Here is a 27,805-nt window from a genome sequence, read left to right as displayed (position 1 = left end):
TTACAATGTGACAAAGCAGAGAAACGAGACGTATATCTGACAATTGTGACTAAACAAACCGATTGTTTAAAATTCGTTGAATGTTAAAGATTGAAATGCAACCCATAGTAGAACTCCAGGGATGGGTATACTACAAGTTCTTTTTGGAGTAGCTGGAGATACAACAATAGCACTCCCCCCCGCCCCACGAGTGAGTTCTTAATTACTAATGAATACAATTCATTTTAATTGTTATTATAGCAACATAACATTTAACTGACTCCTGTTTAGTGGTGTCCCCTGGAATAGGCAGTGTCTCCTGTCAGAGTGAGGACAGGTAGAAGGCACAGCGGGCGTCTGATTGAGCCAGTTATTCATTTGCTGAGTGTTTGTGTTTATGCAAAGGGGCCTCTTCCTGCATATTTAATCTAGAGTAAGGCAGTGGCTTTTGTTGTGTTTAGCCCACATACCTTCAGTCCTTCCTCACACTGCCGCCAGCCTGGGAGCCCTGAGAGCCAGCAGGCTTCCAAGCGCCTGTAGTTTCTCCCTTACAAACTCTCAACTTTCTTCCGTTGTGTGAAAATTGCCTCTCCCGCCCCAAAGCTTTGCCTCCTCACCATGAACGGGTAAGTGTGTGCGAAGCCAAGGCTGACACTTTTGTTTCATTTTACTAATGTTGAGAGGGTACTTTGCTGCCCTTCTGAGCGCCTCCTGAAAGCAGTCCTGGTTCCTGGGCCGTTGTCAGCTTCTGGCTGCATTGAAATAGACAAGTACAGGTGCCTCTTAGGAAATGTGGCTGAATTTTGGACTCGCAGAGAAAGGCTCGTGAGGACTAGGGGGAATTAAAAAGAAAAGAGAGAGAGAGAGCAGCTTTATTATTCTTTGTCCTAACAAATCCTGTTTTGTAACTATCCTGCAGATAATGCTGCCATTGTTTGCTAAAAGCCTTCAAACAGTGTCTAAGACTGAACTGTAAGAAAACAGAAACTCTGCCGCTGTATTGTCTATACCCGGGCCAGGGTCCTCCCCGAAGGTCTGTGCCGGAATAGGAAAGGTTTTCTTCTGTGGAAATCGAATCGTCTCTTCATTGATATTAATAGCACACTAGAGATGTTGGCCATGATGCTCAGAGAGGCGGTCGGGAGGGAAGGAAATCTGATCTTGCTGGGGGGAAAATGACAGCCTCTTGGCCCCACGGTGGAGGAGACATCATCCAGGCTCAGTGTGCATAATGGCATCCTGGCTTAACTGTTTGCTCTAGGAATTTTAATCTTGAGCTGTTTGTTTTACTATCTGGGGTCTTGCTATTTTTTGTTCCCGTACTGTCTTTAGAAAGCACCATATTCAGGGGCTAATCCAGTCTTTTTTTAAAGTGAATTTTTAAAAACAGACTCAGAGAAATTCATGTAGTGTACACTTAGATCATTCTGGGGTATGATGGGGGTATTCTGCTTTCTTTTTGAGGGTAGAGTGTTATTTCAAAAATAAGTTGCCACAATTAACAAGGGTGAACCATCCAAGGAAGATATGTCCTGTGTGAAGATATTTCAGGGTGTGGGAATTATGTCCAGGCTCTAAAAGAAGGAGTTTTCATGACCGGTTAACTGTTGCCTCTGTTTGAGTAACTCTTTTCAACAGAAGAGTGTGCTGTTCCCCCGCCGGTTGGAAACTGTGAGAATTTAAATAAAATTTCATCAACCTTATTAAAATATGTAGGGACTTGTGTCTTCTTGGGTACAAATCAGTCTAGAGACTTAGAAGCATTTATTAACAGTGAGGCTGCTGAAGGTTTTTAATAACAAAATTACAAATACTCTATCTAATTGTAAGTATATGACTTTTATACTTGGTTTTTAAGGGGAAAAATACTTTTTTTTGAGGCAAAGTAACTCCGTCAGAGCACCTTCTGTGATTAGTGCTATTGTATTCTTAAATTTTGATTGATAGAGATAATAGTTTTCACTTAAAAATACAGACAGGTACTTTAACTTTCCATGACAATAGCTATTTGCATTTCTTTTATCTTTTTGTTTAACATTTGTGGGGGTTGGGATGGATTTGATTATTAACTCTTATTGCACACTAAAGGTGAATCTAAAACAAAGGCTTTGTTAGAGCTTCGAAGGGAAAACAGCAAATATTGTTTTTAGGTTTCAACATTTAAAGGCTGTTAAAGGATACCCATAAAATATTTTCACATGACCACGGCCAGGGTTTTCCTTTTCTGTAAGGCAGGAGAGAGTCATTTTTCCAAATGAGATGGGCCGATGTGGAGTGAGTGGGGGGCTGCCAGCCTGAAGTAATTTCATGGGCAAGCATCGACTGGGGTTTACTGCACCACGTGGCTTAATGTATAATATTTTAGGTTTTTGCCCTACTAGAATGGACTCCAAAGTTAGGTACTATGATCTGATGAGGGCCCCAGAGGATGAGGAGAAAGGAAGTAAAATGTTACTTGCAGGGATAGGAGAGAGATTTGAAGAATGGTGGATTCAAAGTCGCACATTTCTTTGATAGAGACAAGTAAAAGAAGTGTAGTGTTTGTGAAGCTGCAAGCCTGGGTAGCGTCCAAGTTTGCCTCTGGTCTCAGAGACCCCGGCTGCACAGCAGCTTCTTCCTTCCTTTTCTTTCTTGTTTCCTTGCTTTATTCTTTTCCTTTCTTTTTCCCCTCTGTTTTTCTCTATTTTTTCCTTTCTCCCCTTTTTCCGTTTTTATTTTCTTCTTTTCTTTCTTCATTCCCCACCTTCCCCACTTTTTTTTCTTTTCTTTTTTGAAATCTTACTCAGTATTTGAAGTCTTAAGGGCATAGAACAAACTTTGAGATTGATTTTGGAGTAGATTTTCTTCACTATAGAAAATAAAGTGACTCTTGTCTTATATTTTTCAATAGTCAAATATATGTTGATGTCCTTATATTTTCTAAGAAGTCATTGAAAAACAAGATATTAAAGCCCACAGAAGATAAGATTCCCTATTTAAAGAGGCAGCAAACTCTTGGAAATTGGCCTATTTGGACCAGTTTTTGCAAATGAGTACAGGCCATTTGATTGGAGGATTTGGGGGTATGGGAAGTTTGAACCATGTTCCTTCCTCAGTTTCCTAGTAAGAAAGTGTCCTCTAGCCATAGACCTACTGAACTGCCCCCCATCACCACCCAGGGGCTTGCTTTGCTCATCTTTGCATCTTTATTAAGACTGGTACACAATAGGTTCTCAGCCAGTATTGGGTAGGCTGAAGATTGAGATGAACTATGTTGGGCATACTTCAGAGTTGCTTTTGCACAATTATATAAAATGAAATATAATGCAGAAATCTTAATGCAGATAATTTATTTTAGCTGTCAAGAAAGGGAAGGGGGAAATACTATAAATGGGGAAAAAAAGAGCTGATACTCTTCATTTTCAGTTTTGTGAAATGAGATTGCACCTCCACATTTACCTGCAACTCAGTTCCAAGTAGGACATACTAGTGGACACCGTGTATTATATGTCACACAGATTAAATTAAGGGCAAAATATATCCATAGAAAGTATGATATTGAAATACTGCAATAATCTGAGGGTTCTTTAGAATAACAGTCCTAATTAGGGAGGAGGGGTGGTTGGGGAGGTAGAGAAAGAGGAATGTACATTTAGTGTCTCACCCTAGAGTTCGCAGTAGAAATTTGGTGTCCTGGACATGGTTTTTGTGGTCACTGTGTAACTTCAGGTAAATGATACTGTTGCAATCAATAGTGAAGAGGCCATGGAACAATTCTGGTGTTCACAGGATCTTAACTGTTACAGAGAATGACATAAAGGAAAATAAGTAATTTCTGTTTACCATATCCTTGGCTCACTTTTAAAACCTAAAACCAGTAGGAAACTTAAAAAAGAAAGAGAAAAAGAAAAAAAAACGCAATTCGTATGGAGACAGCATTTTTTAAAAGAAGACAAGTGGGCTGGAGGGGAATGTATTTCTTTTATCTTTATCTTTTTTTTTTTTTTTTTTACATAAAAGCTTTGCATAATCATTTAATTTTAGTTTTGGTGCTTGTGCTGCCAGTAAGCATACAGGTAAATAGTTGATCTATTTGATAAGTAAAAGTGATTTAAAGAAAATAGCAAATATAGTATTGGAAAGGGAAGTTGTATGCTTTGGAAAAAATGAAATGCCTATTTTTCTGCTAGTTGTTGGTTTCCAATTCTTCTAAGCTAGTAATGAGGCAGACTCGGGCCCCAGTACTAGCCCTAATTTTCTTGTCTATTATATTGACACATTTCATTTACTTTAGCATGATGGCAAACAGCTGTTGAACTATTAATCTTTTTCTCAGCAAAACTAGAAAAATGTCTGTTAGATTACTTTGTTAATGTTATACCTTCTCTAAAAATGAAAATCAACAGAAATAAATTAATGAGTGGCCAATCGTGCATGTGCACCAAAATTTATGGAACTTCAAAATGGAGAAAGATAGAGATTATATCCCACTGCCCATTTTTTATGTATAAGTGAAAATTAAATGTAGTCAGTTTCGTATTGTTTTAGTATTTATAAATTGGATGGTCAGTTGTATAATTTTGTTGTAATTCTTTCCCCAGTATCCCTAGGGGAAAAAAATGATACTGGTTAAATCTGAGGCTGAATCAGCTTCTATTTTTGTTCTGTGTTCACTTACACACTATACTGTGTGGATAGGTGAGTAGAAAAACAGGTCTAGTGTTTACCTGAAAGTGTTCCGCAGGTTCAAATGCAGCACTGGAGATAACTTTATTCGAAGGAGGCATTTTCAGCAGTTTTTTAAAAAAATTAAATTTTAATGAGGTCCAGTTGTTTGCCAGGCCTATATGATGGCAAATCTCATCTGCATTGCAAAGTCTAATACTATAGGTCTGACTGCCAAACATGCAAAAATAGACACAGCTCAATAGATAAACATATAAATTAGTTTACAGTGCATGTATTGGAGAACATCTCAAGTAAAAAGGAGAGAGGAAAAGGCGTTCTTGCTTTGAATTGAGTAGGATCTGCCAAAGTTCACTTGCTTTACATTTAAGATTTGATGAGTGGTAGATGTAGAAATTTCTGTGTGCGCTTTGTATCTACTGAGCTCTGATTTGTGTAGAGTGGGGCTCTGCAGATCTTAGCTCTACCTTGAGGACCTGACCATCTTTGCTCTGTTTTTCTTTCTTATCGTTGCTTGCCCTGAAATAGACTTCTCACTACTGGAGAAACCAATCTTGGGGACATACATCAGCAGTAAAGCACACGATTTTCATTTTCAATTTGAATTGTTTTGTGTAAAAACAAAAAGGTTTTGGTCAGGCTGCAAAATAGTAATTTTAAGTCCCAGAGCTAGGGTTTTCCCCCACCCAAATGGTGAAAATTTATGGTGAAAACCTCCAATTTCCTCTTACAGTAAACATGAAAATTATGATTTCACTCAGAGCCTGCGTCTTTTTCCAATCTTAATGGCAAGAATCTGCATACACTTGCTTGTGGAAATGTCATAAATTGGCCTCGGATCAATTCCTCAAAGATAGTACACACCAAAGTGCCACTTTCAAATTTTTAGCCCTCGTGAAATAAGATTTTACTCTTCTCAATGATGTTTGCCTTTCCACATTCAGGGCTGACAGCAGAGGGATGAGCAGGGATATATTCCTATAAAATTAAACCACTTCATTACATGCTATTCTGAAGAGTGAGCAAAAAGATATTAACATTTTGGTAAAATGATGATATGATTTCGCCACCTTAAAAATTATATGAGCATTTGGTCAATGGATATGGAATGAATCCTGTACCCTCTTAGTAACTTGATCTAAATTAATAAACAAATGTTTTTCTTTTCACTCGTGCCATATGTTGATCCCAGTTACATGGGCAGAAAGAGGCAGCTTGTAATGTTTCTTAAAGGATTAAACACTGTTTTGCATACGGGAGTATGCAGATGCAGGAGTAGGATGTGGGGTAAAATGTGTTCCATGGTTTCTTTGTGTTTTAGGAAGCTTGATTTCAATTGTTTGTTTCATGTGACATGAACCCTTTTTAATTTAACTTAGTAGCTCCGGTAGATACATGGTAAGAGAAAAACATTCTGTGAACAGCTTTCGCCAGCAATTAACTCCCTGCCCCTCCCCAAAGTGAAAATGGTGCTGCTTTCATTCATTTTGAAAGGTCCGAAGTGGCAGAAAGCATCTTGTCTACAAGACCTAACTCTCTTCCAAAAGGGGAAAAAAATAAGTCTTTGCTTTAATGAAATAAGAGATGTTGTGGATATTAACCAAACAGAGACACGTTCAAGTGGCAGTCTGGTTTCCAAAAACAGAGGCCTATGAGTCACATATTATTCTCCATGAAAATAAATCGATAGACAACAAGATGAGAAAAAGTTGATACACAACATTTGAAATGTTTCACCTTGACTTTTCCCCACCAAGTCAATTTTGTTGTCTTGAAGAGCTCAAAGGCATATGGTCCAGATAAGTAGAGATTCTTGGGACTTGTTTTTATTAACCCTGAAAGTCATTTGCCATTAAATAGAATTGAGTGCTTTTGTTGTTTTCCTTGTGTCTGTCCTTGGCAGAGGTGGTTGCTACTTCTCTTGACATTCAGATTTTGATGTTCTCTTTTGTTTTCAGGGTAAGACGTGACCTTTTGAGGTGACTATAACTGAAGATTGCTTTACAGAAGCCAAAAAAGGTAAATGCAAATGTGATTAGTGAAGTTATATCCAGGGCTGTGTCTTTTGCCTTCCAGGCATTTTAATTCAGTTGCTTTTTGGTCTGTATTTGTCAAATAAACATGTATTTATTTGCGTGTAAGGACATATGTGGTGTATTTTTGGAGGTCCTAAGAAAAATGGTTGCCCTTAAGAAATGGTCTACAGGTTCACATTTCCCCCCCAAATATTATCAAACTCTTCTCTGTTTGTTGAAGCTGAACTTATTTTTATTTTTTAAATTTATTTGTTTCTTGTTGACTTGGTAGGTTTAAAGTTAGAAAGGAATATTCACATCACAAAAGTGGTGATTCATAAAATTAACTTGCTGCAAACAAGAGTAACGCATGTCAGTATTGTGTGCTGAAGTGGTGTCATCCAATTGATGTTCATCTGGCGGCTTTATAATCACCTTCTTTCAGAAATTAACAGTCAGGCACCATAGCAACACGCCACATTGATGTAACTGCTGAGCAGTGTGGGGCATATCCCTGTAATGTCAGCGCTAGGCTGCCTTGTTCTCTTGACCTTGCTTGAAAATCAAATGAGTACTTGATTTTAAAATTAGAAGTTTTCAGAGAGACTAAAGTAGCTTAATGAATTAAAGCCAAATTTAATTTTCTCAAATTCGCTTTTGGGAGGGGGAGTGAAAAAGTACTCCGGTTAAAATGGTTATGGATGCTACATATTTACTTGATTTCAAAAGTACCTCTCTGATAAAGGCAATGATCATCTTACAGAAGATGATCCTGCCGGTCGTTTTAACATCTGATATTTCTCAAGCAGTAGCATCTTTGTTTCATTTAGAATTTTTGGCCTTTAATAGTTCCATTTGATTTAGTAGATTTGTGTCTGTCTAAAAACAGGTTACCTGCCAGCATGGTTGAACAAAGCCTTTGCTCAGATTTTACTAAAGTTTATGTATTTGTCAGATATAGACTTATTATTGAGTTGAACAGAGTTTTTTGTGGAACTTTTCATAATGTGAAGAATCTTTGATCAGTTTTTGATAAGTCTCACCTGGGGCTTGGGGGGGTTCTAGAATGCATATATATAAAGGATATGGATTTGTTTTTGTAGTTGCATTCTGGCACATTTAATTTGGTCTAGAAAAATCAGACTTGCATCATTTCACCATCTATATTGTTTAAATGAAACCTTTGCAGGATCTACCTAATTGTATTTCAGAGAGGACAAACATACGTTTCAGATGTTTCGGCATGGAAGGAATTGATTCCCAACCAGTAATTGGGATTATCAGGCCACAGCAAGACACTTCCCTTTGCTGAGGCTCAATTTTCTTTTTCTTTTTCTTTTTTTCTTTTTTTTTCTTTTTGAGACGGAGTTTCGCTCTGTTGCCCAGGCTGGAGTGCAGTGGCGGGATCTCGGCTCACTGCAACCTCTGCCTCCCGGGTTCAAGTGATTCTCCTGCCCCACCCTCCTGAGTAGCTGGGATTACAGGCAGTCGCCATCATACCCAGCTAATTTTTGTGTTTTTAGGAGAGGCGGGGTTTCACCATGTTGGTCAGGCTGGTCTCAAACTCCTGACCTCGTGATCCGCCCACCTCGGCCTCCCAAAGTGTTGGGATTACAGGCGTGAGGCACTGCTCCCGGCCTCAGTTTTCTAATCTTTAAAAGGAAGACATTAATCTATATCAAGGGTCTGCAAACTTTTTCTGTCAAGGGCCACATAGTAAATATTTTCTACTTGTGGGGGCATTCAGCCTCTGTTGCAGCTACTCAGCAAGGTGGTAATTTGCTGTCTCCTGGTCTCTATAATCTCACAGAGTGATCTCAATCCAAGATGCTCCTCATGCAAAGTGGTGCCACATGTCTAACTCATCTCCTACTGTTAGCAGAGGTTTCTGGCAAAGCTAAAAATTATGATTAAACAGGCCAGGCATGGTGGCTCATGTCTGTAATCCCTGCACTTTGGGAGGCTGAGGCGAGTGGATCACCTGAGGTCAGGAGTTCGAGACCAACCTGGTGAAACCCCGTCTCTACTAAAAATACAAAAATTAGCTGGGTGTGGTGGCGGGCACCTGTGATCCCAGCTACTCAGGAGGCTGAGGCAGGAGAATCACTTAAACCCGGGAGGCAGAGGTTGCAGTGAACTGAGATCGCACCACTGTTCTGCAGGCTGGGAGACAGAAGGAGACTCTGTCTGAAAAAAAAAAAAAAAAATTAAACAAAGCTGAAAAAGTGGTAGAAAAGATGAAAAGTTTAGCTTGAGAGTTGCCTTATCCATACAGCTCCAAATATAACCTTCACTGATGGGTTTTCATTTGTTGTTTTGTTTTTTTTTTTTTTTGTAATCACCTGTAAGCATGAATTATTTTTCTTCTGATTCAATATCTTTATAATGTCCGTTCTTTCACCTGTTACCTGAAAATGGAAATACAGTCCCCACCCCACCCCAAATTCTGTAATATTGTTGAAAGTTAAAAATATCATAGGTCAAGGGAAAAATTGGAAAGAAATGTTTCTAGAAATTTGTCATTGGCATTGCCTGAGAAAAATAGTCTATATTACAAAAAAAATGCTTTCTTCATAATCACTATCAAGTGCATGATCTATGGGATTATTTAATATCGTGCAAATAATGCCCCCCTTGTAAAATTACTTGATCATAAAAGTATTTTATATGCTCAGTCTCTATAGTTGTTCTCTACTTTCAGCTTTTTTTGTTGTCTTTGTTTTTGTTCTATATACATTGTCTTCGTCTGTTTGGTGTTGCTATAAAGGAATACCTGAGGCTGGGTAATTTATAAAGAAAAGAATTTTATTTGGCTCATAATTCTGCAGACTGTACAAGAAACATGTGCCAGTACCTACTTCTAGTAAGGACCTTAGGAAGCTTCCAGTCATGGCAAAAGGGGGTTTGGAACAGGCATGTCACATGACAAGAGAAAAAGGAAGCTTGGAGGGAAGGGGAGCCAGGCTCTTTTTAACAACCAGATTTGTCATGAACTAATAGAGCAAGAACTCAGTCATTACTCTGGGGAGGACACTAGCCATTCGTGAGAGATCAGCCCCCATGATCCAAACACCTTCTATTGGCCCCTCCTCTGACATTGGGGACCAGATTTCAAGAGGGAGATTTGGAGGGGACACATTTCCAAAGTATATCATACATCATCTTCAGTATTCCTATTCCAAGTGAACATTTCATTACTTAACACTTTTTTTTTTCTTTTACAGTATCCATTCCATCTGTGTTTTGATGCTAATTTCAAATTTTGGGGAGAAATAAGTTAGGGTATATAGACTTAAGTAATAAATGTAATTTTTACCTTTGAACAAGGTGAAAGATCTTTCAAAGACTAATTTGTATATATCTTGATCTCTTATCTAGAAAGAAATAAAAGGTTTGTTGGAAATATACAATTTAAAAAGATGTTTCAAGTGAATATAGTGGTTAGCGTTTCTTCCTGATGAATAAGCCTTAAATGAGGAGAAGACCTTGCCATCCAGCAATGGACAAAAAAATCAGCATCATCTTTCACACTGCAAGAAGCATGTAGACTTCAGATGCCAGGAGCTTCTCAGTAAATACCACGCCTCAAATTTGAAACCTGGGAATTATTAAGAGTCAGTATAGATGCACAGAAATATGCCTACAAAGGTACTATGGGAATAACTGATTATATACATAAAAGTCGCCAGGCAAATTCAGAAAACCAAATGAAGCCATTTTGAAAATTTGGATTCTATGGTCTGAAGAGTCATAAATAACAGTCATCATACTCGGGAGTGATATAACAATTTTCTTCCAACTAGATCTGAGTGCTTTACAAAATGGATCTGGTTGCTGGCATTCCTAAGAGGTAGCTGGCAATTCTCATAATCCCCACTTTACAGACTGGAAAAACGGTCCCGTTGATGATAAATAGTTTACCCAAGGTCATCCAGAATGTCAAGATGGAAACTAAAGAGGGATGCACTGGTCACAATTATACAGATGTCATTCTATTATGGTTGCCTTGGTTTGGTGATCTAATAAAGGTTTCTGTGGCATTTTTTCCTGCCTCCCCTCACCATTGACAATTTACCCACATGCATTTGCTTAAAATTCAAATCCAATTTGTAAAATTCATCATCTTATATTCAATTCTGAATGGCATTGAGAGTTGAAGATAATCATCAAGGCCATATAGATTACAATTAAAATGGTTAGTTTTAAACATTAGGCATCTCCAAGCTTCACATTTTGTGTATTGGTTCAGTTTTTTTTTTAAAGTCAGGTTATTTGAGAGAAAACTAAAAAACAATCAAAAGGAAGTTGAATCATTGCAATTTTCCCCCCACTCCATCCCTAATTTAAGGTGTTTTATGTTAGATGAAGGAACTATAAATGCATCCTTGTAGATAACATTCATTGTGTCTTACCTATTATAAATTATTTCTTGGTGAAAAATAAAGCTAAAATGCTATTCAGTTATTTGAAATATAAGTTCCTTTAAAAGTGTATATGTGAGTGATTTGAACATTTACCTAATGACACAGCAATTCTGAGCTAAACCCATTCAAAACTACCTTTTTAGAGTATTTAGCATTTGAATTATGTGACCATTAATTAAGGAAGTTGTTATGAAGACACTGGAAGCAGTCGTTACTGAGTTACCAGATGACCGCATTGGCTGGAATGTGATCAGTCAATTCAGTTAAGCATTGAAATGCTCCCTGATCCCCCGTACACACATACAGTACACTCATGCCTGGGTTGTAACCGTCAGGGTAAAGACTAGGCTGGTGTAACAAAGAGACCCCAGCGTAAAATGGCTTAAATAAAATAGAAGTCTACTTCTCTCGTGAAACAACCAGACCAATGTAGCTTGTCTGGGCAGATCTTTCCGTCTGTGCTCTCCTCCCTTGGGGCTTTGTCTTTATCATATGGTTGAAGCTATGTTGTTGCCGCACTATGGAGATGTCCAAAGCAAGCAATTTTCTTTTGATCAAAAGAGTTAAACATTGTATACATCCCACTCATTGTCACTTAACTGGTAAGATTGTGGTCATAAGGCCCAGCAAACTTTGAGGGCTGCTGGGAAGTGTCTCTACCTAGGTGGCCAGGAGCCTGGGGAGAATTGACAAACAGATTTAAGGGGACAAGTAGAATACAAGTACTTCATTGATTCAGTTGCTCCAATCTAGTAATTTCATTCATTCATTCATACATACAGATGTATGTACATACATACATATATTAATTCTTACTGCAGATGTTTATTGGTGGGTGTGTGCTAGGTGCTGAGATTATAGCACCGTGTAAGAAGGACATGGTCTCTGTCCTCACAGAGTTGATAGTCTAGAGGGGCAGGCATACATGAATGACGATGCTGATGATGGGTGTTAGGAAGGGCAATTGTTGGTTGATTTGAGAAGTGGTCTAAAACAAGGAGTCCAGGGTGTCGGGAATTATGTGTTTTAGCATCGTATGGAAGTTATGTGAGATTAACTTGATTTCCTTATATGCTGTTGTGAATGTTATCAGGCATGTTAATTTTTTGTTAACAGAATTACTGAGATATAATTCACATACAATACAATTCACCCATTTAAGGTGTACTGACTTTTCAATAGTTCTTAATGTGTTCAGAGTTGCAACCATCTAGTTCAGTTTTAGAATATTTCATCGCTTAAGAAAAAACCCTAGTAACTATTAGCACTTACACTGCATTCTGCCCTCCCGCCATCCCCTGATAACAACAAATATACATTCTGTTTGTATAGATTTACTTAGTCTGGACGTTTCATAGAAATGGAATCCCACATCCTTTTGTGACTGGATTCTTTCACTTAGCAAAATGTTTTCAAGGTTCATCTAGGCATTTAAAATTTTTAACTGTCTTAAAACCTCATGAGTTCTTATTTTTAAATCTAAGAGAATGGTTGCTTGAAATATTCTTACAAGGGACAGAACTGGGGAAAAATTACTGTTTTTTATGCTGTGTGTATTTCCGTAGACTGACATGGCCTCTCAACAGTTAAACGTCAGAATTTAAATGTTTGCATTTTAAGTTAGCTGTTTTTAAACATTGTTAGCCATAATGCTAAACTAAGTTACTCTGTAAACAAGAGCTGTCTCTCTTGAATGTTAGTTTCAAAGAAAAAAAATTTCTTAAATATTGATTTCCAGAGAAATATGCTCAATAGAGTTCGTTTTCAAGCAGAAGTCACTTGTTGAAATGTACATGAAGGCATATTTAGTAGTAAAGACAATATTTGCAGCAATTATCAAATAACCATATTTTGCACAGTGAACAATCAAAAATACAAAACCAAATAGCAAATGGTTTTATCTATCTTTTTTTTTTTTTTAAGAAATGGGGTCTGGCTGTGTTGCCCAGGCAGGATTACAGTGGCTGTTCATAGGTGTGATCAGAGCTTACTGCAGCCCCGAACTCCTGGGCTTGAGGGATCTTCCTGCCTCAGCCTCCTGAATAGCTTGGACTATAGGCTCACACCACTGAACTACTGTATCCATGTATTTTTTAAATGATGTTTTTGCTGTCCTATCTGCCAAAGGCACAAATATTCCAACTGCTCACCTTGAGCATTTTAGGAACACAAACCTCATGTTAGGTGGCAACTTAACGACGTACCACAGATGTAGGAAATAGAGCCTTTCCTTGGCAATTCAAAAGCCTCTGAAAGAAATCTGAAGCTTAACTGTACAAAAACAAAATATTATAAAAGGTAGCACATCTGTGTTAACCTTGTGGGCCTACCCCCTCAGTATCTAGTAACACCAAGGACCTCAAAGAAACAAATAGTGTACTGATGACAGAATCCTTATTTTATGAGCCCATTTAAAAGTTGAAGCTGTAGTGACAGTTACTAAGCAGTGCTGAGTTTGGATTTGAAGTTTGTGGTATCTTTTAAAAACACTATTGGTGAATGGGACTTTGTGAATTTGAAATGAAGATGAATCGTTTCAGTTTGTTCCTCTCTGCCACTGATCTGGCTTTGCATGGGGTCGGGAAGAAAAAGGAAAAACATGAAGTCTTTCTGCCCTTGTCAAATTCACTCTTTTTAAAGGGTGAAAATCATGCAGATCTTTCCTGAATTTTGTATATTGGCATATATGTGGTATGTAATTAAAGGTAATTAGATGTTTTGTTAATTATCTGAGAGTGTGACCAGTTATTTAAAATTACCTTTTAGGCCGGGCATGGTGGCTCACACCTGTAATCCCAGCACTCTGGGAGGCCAAGGCAGGTGGATCACTTGAGGTTGGGAGTTTGAGACCAGCCTGGTCAACATGGCGAAACCTGGTATCTGCTAAAAATACAAAAATTAGCTGGGCATGGTGGTGCACACCTGTAGTCCCAGCTACCTGGGAAGCTGAGGTGAGAGAATTGCTTGAACTTGGGAGGCAGAGGTTACAGTGATCTGAGATCATGCCACTGCTCTACATCCTGGGCAACAGAGGGGAGACTCCATCTCAAAAAATAAATAAATCAAAAGTAAAATAAAATTACTTTTTAATTAAGAGAAACCTCCCATTGTTGGATGGACTGTGATTATTGCAGTCTATGGCTTGCCATGGTAGCTTACATGCTCACTCTTTCCTCCAGTCTTTTTTTTCTGGAGGTTGGTCTGTTTCCCTTTCAAAAGGTCCTCAGTGGTCTCTGGAGGCCAGAGGAAATATCCTAAAATACATTCATTACAAATTCCATACTTTAAAGTTTATTTAGACCAGTCATTTTCAAAGTGGCCGTTGGAACCAGTTTGTGGGTTAAGGATTTTAGTGTAGTGGCTTGTACCCAAGACTTTTAAAAAATGGAATCAGCGGCCAGGCACAGTCGCTCAGGCCTGTAATCCCAGCACTTTGGGAGGCCGAGGCAGGCAGATCACGAGGTCAAGAGATCAAAATCATCCTGGCCAACATGGTGAAACCCCATCTCTACTAAAAATACAAAAATTAGCTGGGCATGGTGGCGCACACCTGTAGTCCCAGCTACGTGGGAGGCTAAGGCAGGAAAATCACTTGAACCCGGGAGGCAGAGGTTGCAGTGAGCCAAGATCACACCACTGCACTCCAGCCTGGTGTGAGACTCCATCTCAAAAAAAAAAAAAAAAAAATACAGAATAAGCATACAATACAGTAAAATAAAAAAATCAGAATATGTCACATGTGGTAAGGATTTTATGTGTATGCAGTAAAACTTCTGAAACATATGAGTACTGTCTTTGCAATGTAAAGTAGTTCTTTCTGCAGGTTGGATTTATTCCCTCATCTGTTTATTCACACATCTTTATTAAATGCCTGCTGTATGCCAGGCATTGTGCTTGACCTCCCCTGTCCAGTGTGGGAGCCACTAGCTACCTGGAGCTGCTGAACACTTGAAATGTGATTAGCCCAAACTTGGATGTGCAGTGTAAAATCTACAAAGTATTTCAAAGCCTTTGTATGGAAAAAAGAACATGAAATATTTGATAATTTTTCTTCATCGATTACATGTTGAAATGATCGTTTTGGATACATTAGGTTAAATAAAATATTAAAATTAATTTCAGCTGTTTCTTGTTACTTCTGAAAAGCGTCACAGTTACTTATGTGGCAGCCATTGTATTTCTATTAGACAGTGTTGCTGGATATAGCAGTGGACAGCACAGCCACCAAGCCCTCTGCTCATTGGTTTAGAGGGAGTGGACAACCAGCGAAGCGTGATAAACAAGGGCGTGGTGATAGATACTGTAGAGAAAATATAAAAGGATAAGGGAGGTCACATTGTCAGAGGGAAGGGTTGCTGTGTAAATAGGGTGGTGGGTGGTCAGGGTAAGTCCATGTAAGGTGAGCAGAGATGTAGCCTATTCTAAAGAGAGCAAGTCAGCCAGTATGGCCGAAGCAGTGTCCTTAAGGGAAGAGTACAGGTTGAGTATCTGTTATCTGACATGCTTGGGACCAGAAATATTTCTGATTTGGGATCTTTCAGATTTTATAATATATGCATTACCAGCTAAGCATCCTTAACCCCAAAATCCCAAATCTGAAATGCTCCTGTGAGCATTTCCTTTGAGTGTTGTATCTGTGCTCAAAAAGTTTTGGATTTCGGAGCACTTTTGATTGCAGAATATTGGATTAAGGCTACTCAAGTTGTAGTAAGAGACAACATAACAGTGTAACAGGGCCAGACTGAGTAGGGCATTAGGGCTTTTTATATTCTTATTGGGGAGCCATTGAGGGGCTTTGAGGTAGAGCAAGATCTCACTCATGCTTTTTAAATGGATCGCTCTGGGAGCTGTTTTGAAAATAGACTTTGGGTGGATGAGGTCATAGGCAGGGAGACCTGTCAGGAGGCCACTAGAATAATCCCAGTGAGATATGATGATGGCCAGGATCACAATGGCAGGGGAGGTGCTGAGAAGTTGTTGAATTTGGAATTTATTTAAACATTGAGCCAAAGGATTTCCTAGTGAAATTGATGGGGAGTTTGAAAAAGTTGCATCACAGAAGACTCTTAAGATTTTTGTCTTGAATGACGGGATATAATCAATAGGATTCACTGATGGATTGCTTATGGGCAGAAACAGAGGAGTCAGAAGACAAATGCTTTCTGTTCTAAGGAACTGATAGAAGGTGGTGCTCCCATCACTAAAATACAGCAAGACAGTGGGTGGGGCAGTTTTGGAGGTAGGGGAGGTAAGCAAGGGAGACCAGGAATGTAGTTGTAGATATGGGAGGTTTGAGCTATGCACCCAGACTAAGATGCCAAGTGGGCATTTGGATATGTAGTCCTGGAAATGTCCTAGCTTGGTCTATAAATTCAGGATTTATAAGCATGTAAGTGATACCTAAAGGCATAAACTTGACTGAACTCACCAAGGAAGCAGTGGTATAGAAGAAGAAAAGAAGAGTTCCAGGATCTGGGTTCTGACTCTGGGAGGCTGAGGTGGGAGGATCTCTTGAGACCAGGAGTTTGAGATCAACCTGGGCAACATAGTGAGACTCTTATCTCTACATTAAAAAAAACAAAAATTAGCTGGGCATGGTGGCGTGTGCCTGTAGTCCCAGCTACACTTGGGAGGCTGAGGCAGGAGGATTGTTCAAGCCCAGGAGCTTGGGGCCACAGTGAGCCACAGTTGCATCACAATACTCTAGCCTGAGGGACAGAGTGAGACTCTGTCTCAAAAAAGTAAAATAAAAATAAAAAGCCAACACCATTAAAAGTTTTAGTCATAGAATATTGAGAACAGGAAAGATCAGAGATGGGATGAAAACTCTGAGATTGTGAACCAGAAAGTCATCAAGGTAAGTGTTTAAAGTAGGAAACAAAGCTGAGCATGGGGGCTCACACCTGTAGTTCCAGCTACTCAGGAGGCTGAGGCAGGAGGATTGCTTCAGTCCAGGAGTTTGAGGCTATAGTGTGCTATGATCCTGCCTGTGAATAACCACTTCACTCCAGCCTGGGTGACAGACTATAGTGACTCTGTCTCTAGATAAAAAACAAAATTAGGCTGGGCACAGTGGCTCATGACTGTAATACCAGCACTTTGGGAGGCCAAGGCAGGCGGATCATGAGGTCAGGAGTTCAAGATCAGCCTGGCCAACATGGGGAAACCCTGTCTCTACTAAACATACAAAAACTAGCTCGGCATGGTGGCTCATTCCTGTAATCTCAGCTACTCAGGAGGCTGAGGCAGGAGAATTGCTTGAACTGGGACCCGGGAGACGGAGGTTGCAGTGAACCAAGATCGCACCACTGCACTCCAGCGTGGGCTACAGAGAGAGACTCCATCTCAAAAAATAAATAAATAAATAAATAAATAAATAAGAAGAGAGTTGTGAGCCATATCAAATTCTGCCAAGTGGTCAAAAAAGATGATGACAAAGAACTGACCATTGGATTTGTCAATATGGAAGTCATTGATGACCTTAGTAAGAGTTAGTTGTGTTTGAATCTCACTCCTATCATATTTACTGGCTTTATATAACTAGCAGTCTGCTGGCTGGCTGAACTTACATGGTTTGTATTATTTTTCCAGGAATAGTAATTGTTCAGCATTCTTGTTTGTTACAGTTACCACATTTTCCCCCACCCCTTGCACTCATTTTTGTGAAGTTTGGGTCATAGTACAACCTGTGAGCAGTGAAAAAGGAATCCTGGGCATTTTGTCCCTCTTGACCCGTTCTCTAATCTGATGGTTTGGAGATTTGCAGTTTAAATAAAAGGCATAGAGGAAAGTGGGATGTGTTTATAGCCCTAACTTAGAATATGTCGATTGTAATCATCTGAAGTATATCACAGATTGGTGTGGTTAACATAGTCTCTAGATTAGTAAAATACTAGTTTGAGCCTGAGCCACGTCTGTCTATCACCTTTACCTTTTACTAATATAGGTAGTCTTTGATGGGTTCATCTGCCTTTCAGATTACCTAAGAGCATCACAGATTCTAGCTTTCTCAAAACTTGTGAAACACAGTTGAACATTTTCAAGATTTCTTGGCCAGTCGCAAATCCTCAAGCATCCAGGAAATGGTAGGTTAATTACAAAAACACACATTATCTCTATATGGATGCTAAATACTGTTAAGATGGTGTTGGATGAAGGAAGGACAGTTTCTCTTTGTGGATAATTTTAAATGCACTTACGAAACAAAAAATAAAGGAAGCGGCCTTGCGTGGTGGCTCACACCTGTAATCCCAGCACTTTGGGAGGCCGAGACGGGCAGATCATCTGAGCTCAGGAGTTCGAGACCAGCCTGACCAACATGGAGAAACCCCGTCTCTACTAAAAATACAAAATTAGCCGGGCGTGGTGGCGCATGCCTGTAATCCCAGCTACTCAGGAGGCTGAGGCAGGAGAATCGCTTGAACCCGGGAGGCAGAGGTTGCGGTGAGCCAAGATCGTGCCATTGCACTCCAGCCTGGGCAACAGGAGCAAAACTCTGTCTCAAAATATATATATATGAAGAAGAAGTAGTGAGAAAAATTTCATTGGTAACCTTATTTAAACAGTTCAACATTGTAACTAAATCCTAATGTTATTGTTTTTATTTTATTTTTATTTTTTGGGATGAAGTCTCGTTCTGTCACCCAGGCTGGAATGCAGTGGCACGACCTCAGCTCACTGCAACCTCCACCTCCCAGGTTCAAGTGATTCTCCTGCCTCAACCTCCTGAGTAGCTGGGATTACAGATTCCCGCCACCAAGCCCAGCTAATTTTCGTATTTTTAGTAGAGACAGGGTTTCGCCATGTTTGTCAGGCTGGTCTCAAACTGCTGATCTCAAGTGATCTGCCCCTCTCAGCCTCCCAAAGAGCTGGGATTACAGGCGTGAGCCACAGCGCTTGGCCCTATTACTATTATTATTATTATTTTGAGACAGGGTCTCGCTCTTTCGCCCAGGCTGGAGTGCAGTGGTGCAGTCTCGGCTGACTGCATTCTCTTGCCTCCCAGGCTCAGGTGATCCTCTCCCCTCAGCCTCAATGAGTAGCTGGTACCACAGGCACATGCCACCACGCCTGGCTGATCTTTGTATGTTTTTAGAGACAGGGTTTCGCCATTTTCCCCAGGCTGGTCTTAAACTCCTGGGATGAGGGGATCCACCCACCTCGGCCTCCCAAAGTTCCGAAGTTCACACCTGTAATCCCACCTTGCCTGGCTATTTCTTATATATGGCATATTTAAAAACATTTGTCTATATATACTTTTACTGTATGTACTCTTTTTGTTTCCTGCTTTTATCATTAAACGATCTTAAGTGTTTTCCCAAGTTATTACTTAATATATCTACATCTTATTTTTAAAGCTACGTTCATTACTACCACTGTTGTGTTTTCTATACCTGCAACTGGTGGGTCTTTAGATTCCTTCCAGTTATTTGTGATTGTAACTACGTCTGTGTTGGACATCTCGAGATAACTCAGTCTCTTGAGTGAGTTTCATAAAAGATGTTGTGATTTTAGATAATCACCTAGTTTCTCCCTCTACTTTTAAATAATATTCAAATGAATTCCAGGCACATAAAATCATTGCTTGGCTCTGCGTACATGTGTTTTCTGTGATAGCATGAGGTAGAGTTTGTATCAACTTTGATGACAACATTTCTAGACATTAAGTTGGTAGGCAGTTTTTTGTTTTGTTTTGTTTTGTTTCTGATTTGAATTCTCCCTCGATATTTTCCCACTTCCCCAACTTGATTTGCAGCTTGTTAGATAAGGAACTTTGTATCTTTCAAAGGAGAGCCATTTATACTTTCATTGTTTAATTTATCCCAAATATCAGTCATTCTCTTGTCCCAGCACATGCCATTAATATAAATTTGTTTATAGTTGCAAATTTTGCTTTGGTTGGGTTTCATTCAGATTAACTCTGTAAAATTAAAAAAGTTACAGCTTTTAGAGTATGAAATTTAAGTTCTCTTCTTTGCTATACCTCAGTGATATAGTTACTAATTGATTAAGCAATAAGTAGTTACTGAGTTTCTATGAGGCTCCCTGTGTTTAAAATTGAGCTGTGTGCTGGCGGGCGGGGCGGGGGTGGCGGGGGACACTCTACATGGTGGTAGATATCCCATCTAATTCTAAAATCCCCAAATGGCCAATCAATGAAGTACAGTCATGTGCCACACAAGGATGTTTTGGTCAACGATGGTTTGCATATATGACTGTGGTCCCATAAAATTATAATGGAGCATACCTGATACATAGCACTTGGTATTGTCATTGCAGATAAAGTAGGAGAAGTGACTGACATTAGGTAACAGTGCTGGGACATACGGTTTTCCATATGAAAATATATAAGTAAAAATATACATACTATCTGGGTTTAAGTACACTCTTATGTTGGCACAGTAGCAAAATCGCCTAACAACACGTTTCTCAGAACCTATCCCTATTGTGAAGTGATACATGACTTTATTCTTAGGTTTATAGATTCAGAGAGGACCAAGGAATGTCAGACTTCTGTAGCCCATTCCTTATATTTACTGAAGATGAAACTGTGATACAGAAAAGGAAATGACAGACCCCAGGCCACTGTGTAATTGTAGATTTCTGTGTTGGTAGTGACTCCCAGCCTCTTCCACTACATCAGTTCCTTCCTTTTGTGATATAATACCAAAGATAAGTGGAAATATTAAAATTTGACTGTTAAAAAGTTGACTGTTGAAAAAATGGACCAACTGAAAACCAAGGTGTATTATTTTTATGTACATGACCCTTTCTCGGATTTAATTTCTAATATTCTCTTCTCTAAGCTATGTTAAGGGAATTTACAAGTGTTTCAAAATATTAAATAGGAAAAGCATCATCTGAAAATGTTTATCTCAGAAAGTGCCCACTTTTCACCCTTCTTCTCTTTACTCTCTTCCTTTTTCTTCCTCGTTCCCTCTCCCTCTGTGTCTCTCCTCCCTCTAAAGCCTGATTTTTTAAAAAACAAGGCTGTTTGATGAAGATATGTATAAAGTTAGAATTATCCTGCTGGTTGACAACTACTGTGCATTTTTTGAATAGTTGAGTTTTGTATAGCATGAGAATTTAGTTGACTACACTATCCTTATGCGACTGATTCATACAAATGACTGCCTCCTATGTGACGTGTTTTGCCAAGGGCTGGGGTATATAAGAGGATAATGATGTGTGTTTCTTACTATTTTTGAGGCATAAGCTAATTGATTCGAACTGCGTGTTTTCTGAGGTCTTGTTCTACCTGGCTTTGGAGTGGGGTTAATGTTCTTTATTTCCCTTCTGTGGGATAAAATACCTACCAATGTAAAATTGTCATCAGGAAGGGTCATATAATTTCATTAACTAAGTTCTCATTATAATATTCTATGTATGTTACATACATAGAATAGAAAGTTCTTATGAAGTTAATTTTTTCTGATTATAAATATAAAACCATCTCATTATGGGGAATTTGCAATTATAGAAAAGTAGACAAATGCAAAAATAAAAGTAATTTAGACTCCTGACCCTGATGATAACATATATTTCCTTCTACTCTTTTTTTAATGGAATGTACATATAGTTGACAAAGTTGTAGCCATACAGTATATGGTATTTGTGTATCCATTTTTTTTTTTAATTTAGTATTTCATGATGAGCATTTTCCTGTGTCATGAAGTGTTCTTAAAGACATCTGGAATGGTTGTATACCACATCATCCTTTCGGATACAATAAAATTTAAAGAACTATTCTTAATGTTGGGTATTGACACCATGTCCAGTTTTCCTGTAATAACGTTGCAGTTGGCATATTTGTGCACAAATATTTGTCTTTTCTTTTTTTGAAACAGGGTCTCCTCCATTACCCAGGCTGGATTGTAGTGATGATTATAGCTCACTACAGCCTTGATCTCTCAGGCTCAAGTGATCCTTCCACATCAGCTCCCGAGTAGCTTAGACTTCAGTTGCACACACCATGTCCAGCTAATTTTTATATTTTTTGTAGAGACGGGTTTCTGCCATGTTGCCCAGGCTGGTCTCGAACTCTTGGGCTCAAGTGATCTGCCCGTCTTGGCCTCGCAAAGTGCTGGGATTACAGGCGTGAACCACTGTGCCTGGCATATTTGTCTATTAATTTGCTTTTCTTTAGATGTATTCTAGAGGGGGGAAAATCAGTAGAAGAACAGTTATGTAATTCTTACAAGTTCTCCATGTGTCTTGCCATCTTGCTTTTTCTCATCCTATCAGTACTGGATGAGAATGTTTATTTCACTGAACTTTGCCAAAGAGTTTCAACATTTTTTTGTTTAATCATAGGAGAAAAAGGTTTATCTTATTTTTAAAAATTTTTATTTAATTCTTTCATTACAAATGAAGTCCCAGAAGTTGTATTTGTTTCTTTAGGCTGTTCTTAATTGTTCATTGGAACAGGCAGGGTTTGAAGGAGTGGGGATACTGGGAAAGCCAGGGTGATGAGAAAATAGGAAAGGGGTCTTGTCATTGGGAGGCCACTATACCAGTGGCCCTTGTACCAGGACTAATATGGTACTTTGAAGCTTTAAATTCATTTCTTTATTCACCAGATAATTATTGAGTGCTTACTGGTTCTGGACAAGTAAGCATTCAATAATTTTAGGCATCCCAGGATACATCAGTGAACAAACAAACATAAAAAAACCAAAAGGCTCTTTTGCAAATTGGGTGGATCAATCTCAGTGTTGTATAGGGAGGAGAAACAACAAATCACTGAGCAATGCACTTAGCACAGTAAGAGTAAGCAGTTGCTGCTATTCTTACAACTTCTGCTATTGCTCTGTTATCCTCAGCAGCTAAAATAAAAAAGGGTTGTCATCCAGATCCCTTCAGGAGTCTCCCTGTCACATGGAGGACACACCGTCATGTAGGTCCTGTCCTCTCCAGCCCAAGAAGCTTCTCCCCATTTCTCTTTCAGCTCCTTACTCAATGAGCCAGCATCCTCTGGCCCCATGGTTCCAGAAGCTTTGCAGTAGTGTCCATTTAAGCTCTAAGACCCTTGGAACAGGCCTATGGACTTGAGGGAGCACCTGCCATTTGTATCAGTTTAGAAGGGTGCTGCTGGGGGTTGGGGGTGGGGCTCCGGAGTACACTGGGGGCACTGGGAATTACAGCCCCTCTCTGGGTGTTTGCTCTGTGAGTCCGTAAACCCAAGCAGCTCATTCTTATTCATTCCTGAATGAAGGAATTAGAAAGGAAGGGAAATTGAAAGGAAAGTGCACTTCCTCTCCCTCTCTCAGCCCTTTCTGGGATTTCCCTGCACTCAGCACCAGTGGAAGGCAGATGGGTACCCATGGCCTGGACCATGCTCTGCTTTTTCTCTGTTCTTCCCATTCCTGAGAGTGCACTTAGAAACTGGACTGTTGTTGTGCACTTGTCTGATTCCTGCTACCACCCTTTCAAAACAGGACCAATTTTGTAATGGGAAATTGACTATCTCAGGTGCCGACATGATGAAGGTATAGCTTGTTGTTTGGTACTAGCATGTCTCCAGGCGGGAATGGACTTGGAGTATGCCTTGGCTGAGTTTGGATGCCAGTTTTTGGGCATGGCCTGAATACTTTCAGTTAATTGTCCCCATCTGTGAAACGGGTAGAATGAAAGGACCTGCCTTATAGGAATGCTGTGAAGATGATACAAAGAATAGCGTAGGTTGGGAGTTCAGGTTTCCATCTTGGGTTGGGGGCCTGGTCTTGCTACTTGTTAGCTTTCTGATCTTGAGGAAGTAACCAGATTTCTTGAAGCCTTTTTTTTTCCTGCAAAAATAGATACTAAACTAGTACCTCCCCTGTGAAGTAGTTGAGGATTAACTAAATTCTTTTCAGGTAAAAAGTGCTTAGAGCAATGTTTTATACACAGCAAATGCTCAGTAAATGTCGGCTCCACAACACCAGTAATTTTTATGATTGGCACAGTACATGGAATGTAGTAAGTTCTCAAGGAGGTTAATAATCTTTATTATTAATTAAAAATTCAAGATATGGAAAGTATTTTTAAATATCTTTAATAAATATATATATATTAAGGAGAGCCTAATAGGAATAGAAATGAAACAGGCATCCTGGTACTGTCTTTTGGCCCAAAATAGAAAAAATTAAGATCCTAAGTAAAAAGAAATGATTTTTGAATTTTTATGGATAACACTGTATTTGAAATATTCTCTCTCTTCTGCTCATTTCTTACGTGCCACCAGAGAGTAAGGTGTGGTACCACTTAGAGGGATCTTCTCGGCTTATCTTCACTTAGCTTTGTTACAGCTTAGATTTTTTTTTTTCACTCTGTCACCGAGGCTGGAGTGCAGTGGCACAATCTCAGCTCACTGCACCCTCCGCCTCCTGGGTTCAAGCGAGTCTTCCCCTCTCAGCCTCTTGAGTAGCTGGGATTACAGGTGCCCACCACCACACTTGGTTAATTTTTTTTTTTTTTTTGTATTTTTAGTAGAGACAGAGGTTTGCCATGTTGGCCAGGCCGGTCTTGAACTCCTGAACTCAAGTGACATGCCTTGGCCTCCCAAAGTGTTGAGATTACAGGCATAAGCCACTGTGCCCAGCCTCAGCTTAGATTTGAGGGATGATAATGTAAAAGGCCAAGCCATTGCCATCCAGATGTTCCTGAGTTCAGAAGGAGAGACCTGGGCTCACGAGCTTTTCAGAACTTAAACCATGGACTGAAGTACTGTGAACAGGTTTTCCAGGGCTGTTTGTGAGGTTCATTGGCTCTAACATGATGTTATTTTAGAACTTACAAGTAGAGACTGCATTAAAAGAGCATTAGGCTCTTGACAGGCCTGAGAGCACTTTGCGTTGAGCAATGTGGGCAGAAACCATGTCGGTCAGGTATTCACCATGTCCTAGGCTAGATGGGAGGATGTGTGTGTTCTACAGGGCAGGGAGCCAGAATCCCTGTCTGTTTGGAAGAACATGAAGCGGGTGCTTTCTCACCACTCAGATGTGTTTTGAGATAGCAGAGGGTTGGCTGTTTGTGGGTACAGTTGGCAGGAATGACCTTGACCCCATTATTATCTGAAGGAGAAAGAGAGAGTGAGTGTGTGCACGCGCACATGGTTGGTGATAGCGACCCTTTCTCGGAAAACTCCAGAATCTGTCCTTTTCTTTTTCTTTTTTTTTTTAAAATTTTTATCTTGAGATGGGGTCTGACTGTTGTCCAGGCTGGAGTACAGTGACATGATCATAGCTCACTGCAGCCTTGAACTCCCTGGGCTCAGGTGATCCTCTCACCTCAGCCTCCTGAGTAGCTAGGACTACAGGCATGCACCACGACGCCTGGCTACTTTTTCTTCTTCTTCTTCTTTTTTTTTTTTTTTTTTTTTTGTAGAGAAGGGGCTTTGCCATGTTGCCCAGGCTGGTAGGATCTGTCCTTTTTAACAAGGAATTAGAAAGGGCTGCTTCGTATATCTTCATGACACCTAACAAGCTGTTTTCTCTCTTTGTTCCTTCAGAAATGCATGCAGTTTAATTTTTCTTTACCTATACAGGATAACTCTTATCATAACAAACAAACAGTAAGGAAAACATAAATACGAAAGCAAACATTACCATAAATTCACCCCCAGGATCACAACTTGGACCATTTTGGAGACCATCCTTCTAAACATTTGTCTCTGCTCACTGATTATGGAATAGACCTGGGCCGTCCAATATGGTAGCCAGTTACCATAGGCAGCTCTTGAGAAGATGAAATGTGGGTAACCTGAATTATTTTGAAAACAAAAAAAAAAGATATTGTAGGCTGGGCATGGTGGCTCACACCTGTAATCCCAGCACTTTGGGAGGCCGAGGCAGGTGGATCACTTGAGGTCAGGAGTTTGAGACGAGCCTGTCCAACATGGTGAAACCCTGTCTCTACTAAAAATAGAAAAAAAATTAGCCGAGCATGGTGGTGGGCACCTGTAATCCCAGCTATTCAAGAAGCTGAGGCAGGAGAATCGCTTGAACCAGGGAGGCGGAGGTTGCAGTGAGCTGAGATCGCACCACTGCACTCCAGCCTAGGGGACAAAGCAAGACTCTGTCTCAAAAAATAAAAAAAAAAGATATTGTAAAATACCGGATAATTTTGGGTGTTGATTATAGGTTAAAATGATGATAATGTTTTAAATATATTGAATTAGAACATACTATTAAAATTGATTCATTCACTTCATTTTAGTTATTAAAAAGTACCCATTAGAACAATTTAAATTACATTTGTGGCTTGCATTCTATTTTTTTTTTTTTTTTTTTTTTTGTTTGAGACAGAGTCTCACTCTGTTGCGCAGGCTGGAGTGCAGTGGTGCAGTCTCAGCTCGCTGCAACCTCTGACTTCCGGGTTCACGCCATTCTCCTGCCTCAGCCTCCCGAGTAGCTGGGACTACAGGCGCCCATCACCACGCCCGGCTAATTTTTTATATTTTTAGTAGAGACAGGGTTTCACTGTGTTAGCCAGGATAGTCTCGATCTCCTGACCTCGTGATCCGCCTGCCTCGGCCTCGCAAAGTGCTGGGATTACAGGTATGAGCCACCGCGCCTGGCCTGCATTCTATTTTTATTGGGCAGTTTGGTATAGACACATAACAGTTTTCTCTTGCCAGGAGTATGCTACATTTTTCCTACTTTTTAAACATTTAAAAATGTTACCCATATCTCTCTGTAACAATTGATATATAGCAACATTATTATTACTTTATAGCTATGTATAAATATATCGCAGTTTATCTAACCATTTCTACTTGGTTGGATACACGAGATTGTATACAAAAAGCTTGTATATGCATAGTTGCAAGCCTGTCTATTTCCTAAGGACAGTTTCTCAGCATCAGCTTATTTTTGTTTGGGGCTGACTAGTTTTTTCTTGTGGGAGACTGTGCTGTGATTTGTGGGATATTTTGCAGCGTCCCTGGTCTGTACCTGCTAGATGCCTATAACTCTGCTCCCCACTCACCACCCCTGCCCCATGCATGACAGGGAAAAAGTATCCGTAGACATCGCCAAGTGTCTCATGGAGGAAAAAATTGCCCTAGTTGAGAAGCACTAATTTAGGGCAAATTACCAGATTGGGACATGCTGGGTGAAAAGCTATGTGTATTTAAATTTGATAAACATGTATTGATTTATATTGAAATTTTATGTATGTATTCCCCAACTCTTTTCTGGAACAATGGTATCAATTCCTATTTCTTTCTTTTTTTTTTTTTTTTTTTTTGAGATGGAGTTTCACTCTTGTCACCCAGGCTGGAGTGCAACGGCGTGATCCTCCCAGTTTCAAGCAATTCTCCTGACTCTATCTCCCAAATAGCTGGGATTACAGGTGCCTGCCACCACACCCAGCTAATTTTTGTATTTTTAGTAGAAGACACAGTTTCGCCATGTTGGCCAGGCTGGTCTCGAACTCCTGACCTCAGGTGATCCACCCGCCTCGGCCTCCCAAAGTGCTGGGATTACAGGCCTGAGCCACCATGCCCGGCCCCAATTCCTGTTTCTATCAAGAGTAACAAAGATCCTCATTAAAGGCCTCTAAGAGATTCATGAAGGCGCGGCTGGGTATTATTTAATTGGTATTTTACTTGTTAGGAATTGTTTGTTTGTTTGTTTTCGAGATGGAGTCTCGCTCTGTCGCCCAGGCTGGAGTACAGTGGCATGATCTCTGCTTACTGCAAGCTCCGCCTCCCATGTTCAAGTGGATTCTCCTGCTTCAGCC

The 27,805-nt window shown here is 39.8% G+C and overlaps 1 protein-coding gene and 1 long non-coding RNA gene across 12 annotated transcripts in view, besides 1 other annotated feature; one reads left to right on the top strand and one right to left on the bottom strand.

The window, feature by feature from the left end:
• FOXP1 (forkhead box P1) overlaps positions 1 to 27,805 on the top strand; it is a 629,271-nt gene that overhangs the window by 277,496 nt on the left and 323,970 nt on the right. For 10 of the 11 annotated variants that reach the window (NR_146143.3, NR_146142.3, NM_001244810.2 and 7 more), the window contains one exon: positions 6,603 to 6,663. The gene's annotated coding sequence lies outside the window, so the exon portion shown is untranslated. Of the gene's footprint in view, positions 1 to 1,711; positions 1,805 to 6,602; positions 6,664 to 27,805 lie in introns of those variants that run through there. The other variant, NM_001244812.3, reaches the window with a different exon arrangement.
• Positions 30 to 685: an enhancer, noted in NCBI's record as "OCT4-NANOG-H3K27ac hESC enhancer chr3:71354949-71355604 (GRCh37/hg19 assembly coordinates)". NCBI's record gives its function as "activates a minimal SCP1, AML or CMV promoter by ChIP-STARR-seq in primed H9 embryonic stem cells {active_cell/tissue: H9 hESC(primed)}" and the evidence as "EXISTENCE:reporter gene assay evidence [ECO:0000049][PMID:30033119]".
• Positions 629 to 16,725, bottom strand: FOXP1-AS1 (FOXP1 antisense RNA 1). The gene is made up of 5 exons (NR_126463.1): positions 16,512 to 16,725; positions 13,843 to 13,966; positions 9,976 to 10,033; positions 3,623 to 3,755; positions 629 to 811 (listed from the first exon to the last, which is right to left on the bottom strand). It is a non-coding gene; the product is annotated as an FOXP1 antisense RNA 1 (long non-coding RNA).

This window comes from Homo sapiens, chromosome 3 (genome assembly GCF_000001405.40).
Source record: "Homo sapiens chromosome 3, GRCh38.p14 Primary Assembly".
NCBI lineage: Eukaryota > Metazoa > Chordata > Mammalia > Primates > Hominidae > Homo > Homo sapiens.
Note: the sequence above shows the minus strand (reverse complement) of the source record. Positions and strands in the feature narration are given on the sequence as shown.